Raw genomic sequence first — 8,967 nt, 5'->3', positions numbered from 1 at the left:
ATACAAAAATTATTTGGGCCTGGCAGTGTGTAACTGTAGTGCCAGTTACTCAGAAGGCTGAGGTGGGAGAATCACTTTAGCCTGAGAAGTGGAGGTTGCAGTGAGCCATGATTGTGCCATTGCACTCTAGCAGGATTGACAGGGTGAGAACTTTTCTCAAAAAAAAATAAATAAATAATAATAATAATAAAATTAAAAATGCAGGTCTTCCATTATGCAAAGTGCAATCTTTAGCAGTGGATACCTTATAAGCACTGTGGAGGTGGGCAGATAAAGAGTAGCCTAAGGATTTTTCAGTATAGATATTTTGTAGGCAACAAATATGACTTCATTCAGCATTTGTCAAAAATGCTTTTAACAACTTTTAAAAGTTGTTCTTTATAATTTTCCTAGTCTATTTGTGTTTATTTATATTCAAAATCTGTTAAGCAGCGCTGGAGAACTTGCCTTCTTGTGCTTACTCCTTGGGCCAAATTTTGTCTTAAAAGTTCTCTCTCTGATCAACAGGCCTCTGTGCTCTGTTTATCTCCTTAGGATTCAGGTCCTAAGTGGATTTGCTTAGCCACTGTCTCTTAGAGAATTCAAGAAAATAACTTGACAGGGAAGGCACTAACTGTATCCTTCCCACAAAGTGAAGCAGAGAATTTATGATAGGAAGTACATTAAATAAGCACAAAAAATCAGCTTTTTATTTCATAATCATGTAATTTCCCGTGGCTTGTCCTATAATAAAATTAGCTTGGTTGCCAGTATTGTTCTTCTCCAACCCCACCAGTTTCCAGGTTAGCTGAATTAAAATAATCTTGAATTAAAGAATATAGGAAGAAAAAGAACTCTTCTTGTTTTATTTTCTCTAGACTTTAGGAAAGGTTATTTTCTTAGCTCTGTTCATGTAGAAAACTGAATTTGAGGCAAGAATTAAGATGACATTATTTAATTGTAGAAGTGCAAGTCCAAAACTGTAAGAATGATGAAAAAGAGGGGGAAGGCAAAAGAAGCAAAATTACTCTCCTCCAACACTGCCCCCACCCCTTTTTCCTGTGAATTACTTTTTATGCTTCAACAAGATGATTTCAAAAACAAAATTTTTTCCTTTTTTTTTTTTTAGACAGAATCTTGCTTTGTCTCCCAGGCTGGAGTGTAATTGTGCAATATCCGCTCACCGCAACCTCTGCCTCCTGGGTTCAAGCGATTCTACTGCCTCAGCCTCCCGAGTAGCTAGGATTACAGGTGCCCACCACCATGCCCGGCTAATTTTTTTTTTTTTGTATTTTTAGTACAGACGGGGTTTCAGCATGTTGGCCAGGCTGGTCTCGAACTCTGCCCTCCTCGGCCTCCCAAGGTGCTGGGATAACAGGGGTAAGCCACCGTACCTGGCCTAAAAATGAAATTTTTTCTAAGGTCATTTTATAGAAGATTCATTTTTTACATATATAGTTATTTTAATTGTTACTTATGATGAGTCTATACATGAAGTCTATATTTAACAAATCAAAAATTATTTTAATGGTGATAATGACAAGAATAAACAGTTCATTTTTAGAAAGAACAGCTTAATAATAACTTATACGTTTAAAATGCAAAGGCTAGAAGATGGCTCAGAATGGTCTTTTATTTCATTTTTGATTTGGTTATCATCAGTGCTACCTTAGGTGGTCCTTTCCTTGCTTTCTCAATGCTTTATGCTATTTTATTTCTTTTAGTTCTGCTTCCTCCATTGATGAGGGGAGTTGCAAGAATCTGTGGTCACTTTAATATTTATCTTTCACAATCTCAAACTAAAATACTGTAAGAAATCCTTTGATTTAGAAATATTAACTGCCTCTTAAAACATTACTCCTGTATTCTGTTCTGTTTAAATATGTTTTTTTCTGACTTATGAACACTCTTATAATTGCCCTTTGGATTATTTCAGATTTTTGCAAGACTGTTTTAATAGTTTGTTACAGATGATGGTTTATAGGGGTAGTGACAGTGTAGACGGTTTATAGGGGTAGTGACAGTGTAGAGGAAAACAAGTTGAAAATTTAAGATTGATTTCAGGTGTAGAATTGATAGGACTACATAACAAAATAGGCAATTTAAAGGAATAAAGAACAAATTATTAATTTAACCATGGGTAATAGTACTTTGTGTAATTTCCTATGGTTAATCTAACTTACACACACATACACACACACACACACACACACACACTGTTTGAACCATTATTCAAATTCTTGATTCTAAAATGTCCAGGATAAATTAATATAGCTTTGAGTATTTTATATTTATTAATATTATCCTACAATATCACAATGATTTATTAACATTTTGAAATTTATTAAAAACTGAATGTTGTTTTAGATGTTTCAGAGGATGACGTTATCTAGTTTGACCAAAAAAATCATGTATTAGAGGATAATCATAAACCTCTAAATTAATACTTGTAAGGAAGTTATATGATTTGCTTCTCTAAATAGTTAACTTTAAAAAATTTCTCAATAATATTTTCAATCTATACAACCTCTATTGTATAATCTACATTTTGTTGCTTCTTATAAAATTGGTGTCCAAAGTAAATTCTTGAGTATATTATTACTAGTATAAGGAAAGATAGTAACTGTATGCATTCATATTTATAGAAATTCTTGTACTTTTGTGTTACTTTCCCTCCAATAGATATTCCTCTTTTATTGGGATCATCATTTATTTGTCTTATTATAACTTCTAGACACATTACATGATAACTCTAGTAATAGCAGGGTTTTTATCTATATTTTTCTGTTAAATGAGAACACTTCCAGCATTTTCTTAGTTTTTGCTATAATCCCACTCTACCTCATGACAACTCTTAGGTGAGCTTTGCATAAACAATATGGCTCCCCAAAGCACAAACTACAATTTTGAAGAACATTATTCAAATAAATTTCCTATCATTCAAATGCAAGCATTTGAAATAATTCTAAATATTATCTCTCAGAAATAGTCCCTGCTATTTCTTAGTCTCACTTCCCAAGTGTAGTTTGGCCAATGTTTCCAAAGCATTTAACACAACAGATTCTGTATCTGATGATGCCAGAACCATAGAGCAATTTGTCTAGAAGCCCAAACCATTTCAGGCCACACAGATCCTTCAGATTACTGTCTGGGAAGGAAAGAAAAAAATAAAGGAGGAGAATGGAGGATATAAACCACCCAAGTATGGTAATTTATGTGATAGAGAGGAGTATGTTTACAGACTCCCTAAGATATATTTTGAGATGTGTTGAAGGAACACAGTTTGGCTGAGGGGATTGAAGGAATAGTAGTAGAGGAAATGGAATTATTTATGAGATCACAGAAAGTGGTTGTTCATTTACAAAGCCCAACAACCTAAGGCAAATAATACGAAATCTCAGATGTAATAATAATGAGGCATTTGAATGGAACAAGAGAAATGTCTGGTGACTAATTTACAGAAATATAAACTTCAACTTTATCAAAATCATCAGAAGTTGTTGAAATCATCACTTATGAGATACACATAATTCATTGGGAGAAGATTCTTTCTATGTGTGAAGGCACCTAGACAGAGAAAAGGTTGAATTGATTTTATGCTTAGGAATATTATTTTTGTTGTTTAAAAATGACATGATTAGTGAATTTCTATGGAAATCATGAGAGAATTGCAAATAGGTATTGACAAAATCTTTATACTATTTAATTTCATGTATTTGTGAATTTTGTTATTTTTAACCGATGTATGCCAAGCTCCTATTTTTGTTTACTCTATAATAATAAAGATATTTTTCTTTTATTATTTAAAAGAAGAAGATGCTTAAATGGAGAGAAGTAATATGTTCAAGGTGCTATTGCACCAGTAACATTTTTAAGATCATGGAACAAGATGTACAAATAACAGAAAATACCTTGATAATTTTCTGAGGTTTAAAAGACAATGGGAACATTTGAATCCAAATCAAGTGTGATACAATTTTAATTGAAGAAAGATATCAAATGCAAAACAATTAGAATTACTGCACAATTAAATTTTTCTTTCAGTGTTTATTTTTGTACTCCATATAATGGCAATGGTGAATCCATTTTTTTGAAGCTTAAATTTACACAATTTGGTGAACATCTTTAGGTTAAAACAAAAGAAGAAACAAAAAATACATACGGTATGGAATATTTATTTAGACAGAGAAAATATATCATAATCATAAATTTCAAGAAGCTGACACAACATAATAAAATACAGAAAAACAAGAAAATATATTATGTGACATACTCTACAATAATTTTCTGTATTTTTCTATTATTTTATTGTCTTTTAGGTAATATTTTATAATAATATTTCTATAGAGAAAATTGTAAGCCTTTTTTTCATCTTCCATTGGTTGTTCAAAAGTTGTTTTATTATTGATAACTTTTAAAAATGTCATTCATCTTCAAACTTATTTTATTATGTACTGATTTATTTATTTTTAGAGAAGAGTCTCATTCTATTACCCAAGCTGGAGTACGGCAGCCCAGTGATAATTTACTGCAGCATCAACCTCTCCTGGGCTCCAGTGATCCTCCCACTTCAGCCTCCTGAATAGCTGGGATCACAGATGTGCACCAGTATGCCTGACTTTTTTTTTTTTTTAATTATTATTTAGGGACAGGGTCTATCTCTATTGCTAAGGCTGGTCTTGAATTCCTGGCCTCAAGCAATCTTTAAACTTGCTGTTAATGAACTGGTGACATAAACATCTGTTTATAATGGTGTGACAGATTTACTCTGCCATCTTAAACAACTAAAAATAGCAGAAAAACATATGAAAGAAGAGTTTTCAGACACTCAAAATCAGGTAGTAAAAATAAATCCTGAAAGTAGAAAAGTGTATGAGGTTAGCTCTGAAGTATACCCAGTACATTACTTGGAGAGAATGTTTAGCCTCAGCAAAGGAAGCCTCCTGAGGTGTGGAGACAATTAAGAATTGGGGAGAACATGGTGGCAAGAAGAATAGTGAAGAGAAAAAATATACAAAGAGAACTTGGATTGATTCTTTTGCTGAATACTGAGCAACGTATACTTGTAAATACAAAACACAACAAAAACACCTAAGTTTAAGTCAGGCACTCCCACAAACAGCAGAACAAAATTTCAAAAGCTCAGTAAGGCTTGAAATAGAGTAGAAAAACCTCCTATTATACTCCAAATCCTGACACGTATATAGAAGCATTCTGCCATGGTAATGAGGCTGATTTATGCCCAATCCAAATGTCCCTGGGATTTTAAACATAACAGTGGTTAAAAATATACATAGAAATGATCAGGTTGTTTTCAAGTAAATTAAATGTATCACAGAAAAATGTAAAAAATACTTAAAGAAATACTAGCTTTATTCACATACCTAGCATCTAACTATGTAGTTTAAAATGTATAATGTTCAATCATCAAACATGCAAAGAAGTAGAAAAATTATGCCTAATTGGGATGCAAATCAGCACATAATCCTAGACCTAGAAATAATACAGAAAATAGAATTATTTGACAAGGAAATTATACCAGATATTTAAAAAGAATTAAATATTAAAGAAGGTATAGAAAAGAATTAGAATGTCAAGGAAACACCTGGAAGCACAAAAAATGACATACCAAACATGGATAAAAATATAATGTTAGAGAATTTTTTAAAACCCTGAATGGTATTTACAGCAATTTATATATTGCCTACGAATAGAAAGAATTCAAAATGAAGCAAGGAAAAAAAGATAGAACAAATGGAACTGTGTTCTATCAATGTACAGTAGGTCAATATCAAGCACTTTTAATGTTTTTGCGATTCAAATCTCAGAAAGAGAAGTTCAGGGAGTGGGGGCAGTGGAAATCTACAATAACAAATGATGGCAAATAATTTTCTTTTTTTTAACTTTTCTTTATTTTTAAACTTTTAAGTTCAGGAGTACAAGTGCAGATTTGTTATATAGGTAAACGTGTCATGGAGGGGGGTGGTTGTACAGATTAGTTCATCACTCAGGTATTAAGCCTAGTACCCACTAGTTTTCCTGATCCTCCCCCTCCTCCCACTCTTTACCCTCCAAAGTCCCCAGAGTGTGTTGTTCCCTTCTGTGTTTCCAGCCATCGTGGAAGATAGTGTGGTGATTCCTCAAAGACCTAAAGGGTCTTTAGGTCTAAAGACCGAAATACCATTCAACTCAGCAATTCCATTATTGGGTATATACCCAAAGGAATACAAATCATTCTCTTATAAAGGCACATGAACATGTATGTTTATTGCAACACTGTTCACAATAGCCAAGACATGGAATCAACCCAAATGCCCATCAATGATAGACTGAAAAAATAATTTTCAAAATTTGATAAAAACTCTAAACCCACAGAACCAAAAACTTCAATAAACACCAAACACAAGAAACATGACAAAAATCCCAAGAACATTAGATTAAGACAACTTAAAACTAATGATAGAAATAAATCTTAAAAAAAGAAGACGCAAATTTTTAAAAAACAGGTAAGAAAGAGACATTATATAGAATAAGAGATACATTCAAAAGAACAAAGAATGATGATGGAAATATTTTTGGAAATGATGAGTCATAATGCTCTAGAGCAACATCCTTATAATTCTGAAAGAAAAATGCCAGTGTAGAATGTTATACTCAGTATAGCATCTTCCCAACAAATAACAACTGAAAAAAAAATCATTACCAACAAACCAGCTTTCTGAGGAAAATTATAGGAATTGCTTCAGGTCAAAAAAAATTATACTAGATTAAAATCTAGATCTACATAAAAATGAAGATAACCGACTATAATGAATATATGAGTAAATATAACCTAACCGAGGAGGTAAAAGACCCCCACAAGGAAATCTACAAAACACTGTTGAAAGAAATCAGCCAACAAAAACAAATGGAAACACATCTTATGCTCATGGATGATTAGAATCAATATTGTGAAAATGACCATACTGCCAAAAGCAATCTACAAATTTAATGCAATTCCCATCAAAATACCACCATCATTCTTCACAGAACTGGTAAAAACAATCCTAAATTTTATATGGAACAAAAAAAGAGCCCAAATTGCCAAAGCAAGAATAAGCAAAAAGAACAAATCTGGAGGCATTACATTACCTGATTTCAAACAATACTATAAGACCATAGTCACTAAAACAGCATGGTACTGGCATAAAAATAGGCACATAGAACAATGGAACAGATTAGAGAACCCAGAAATAAACCCTAATAGTTACAGCCAACTGAATCTTCGACAAGGCAAACGAAAACATAAAGTGGGAAAAGGACACCCTATTCAACAAATGGTGTTGGAATAATTGGCAAGCCCCATGTAGAAGAATAAAACTGTATCCTTATCTCTCACCTTATAAAAAAATCACCTCAAGAAGGATCAGAATTTAAATCTAAGACCTGAAATTATAAAAATTCTAGAAGATTACATTGAAAAAATCCTTGTGGACATTGGATTAGTCAAGGATTTCATAACCAAGAGCCCAAAAGCAAATGCAATAAAAACCCATGATAAATAGCTGGGACTTAACTAAAGAGCTTTTGCATGGCAAAAAGAACAGTCAGCAGAGTAAACAGACAAGCCACAGAGTGGGAGAAAATCTTCATAATCTCTACATCTTACAAAGGACTAATATCCAGAATCTACAATGAATTCAAACAAATTAGCAAGAAAAAAACAAACAAACAATTCCATCCAAAAGTGGGCTAAGGACACGAATAGACAATTCTCAAATTTTCATGTTTGGCCAACAAACATGAAAAAATGCTAATGATCAGGGAAGTGCAAATCAAAACCACAATGCAAAACCACTTTACTGTTGCAAGAATGGCCATAGTTAAAAAAATTTAAAAAAATAGATGTTGGCATAGATGCAGTGAACAGGGAACAATTCTGCACTGCTGGTGGGAATGTAAACTAGTCCAACCACTATGGAAAACAGTGTGAAAATTCCTTAAAGAACTAAAGTAGAACTACCATTTGATCCAGCAGTCCCACTACTGGGTATCTACCCAGAGGAAAACAAGTCACTATACATAAAGGGTACTTGTACACACATGTTTATAGCAGCAAAATTTGCAATTGCAAAAATGTGGAACCAACCCAAATGCCCATCAATCAACACATGGATAAAGAAACTGTGGTATAGATACACAATGGAATACTACTCACCCATAAAAACAAATGAATTAATGGTATTCTCCGCAACCTGGATGAGATTGGAGTCTACTATTCTAAGTGAAGTAACTCAGAAATGGAAAACCAAATAGTATGTTCTCATTCAGAAGTGGGAGCTCAGCTATGAGGATGCAAAGGCATAAGAATGACACAATGGATTTTTGGGGCTCATGGGAAATGGGTTAGAAGGGGTTGAGGGGTAAAAGACTACAAACTGGGTACAGTGTATACTGCTTAGGTGATGGATGCACTGAAATCTCACATATCACCACTAAATAACTTATGTAACCAAATACCACCAGATCCCCAATAACCTATGGAAATAAAAAACAATTAAAAGAAACGCTCCATATCATAAAAATAATTATAAATACGAATATGCTCATCAGTATTATTTATAAATCATAGTAAAAACGGAAAAAAAACTTTTTTTTATTATACCTTAAGTTCTGGGTTACATGTGCAGAATGTGCAGTTTTATTATATAGGTATACACTTGCCTTGGTGGTTTGCTGCACCCATCAACCTGTCACCTACATTAGGCATTTCTCCTAATGTTATCCCTCCCCTAGCCTCCCAACCCCCAACAGGCACTGGTGTGTGATGTTCCCCTCCCTGTGTCCATGTGTTCTCATTGTTCAACTCCCACTTATGAGTGAGAACATGTGGTGTTTAGTTTTCTGATCTTGTGATAGTTTGCTGAGAATGATGGTTTCCAGCTTCATCCATGTCCCTGCAAAGGACATGAACTCATCCTTTTTTATGGCTGCATAGTATTCCATGGT

This window comes from Homo sapiens, chromosome 7 (assembly GCF_000001405.40).
Source record: "Homo sapiens chromosome 7, GRCh38.p14 Primary Assembly".
In the NCBI taxonomy this organism is placed as follows: Eukaryota; Metazoa; Chordata; class Mammalia; order Primates; family Hominidae; genus Homo; species Homo sapiens.
This window is presented reverse-complemented; position numbering follows the sequence as displayed.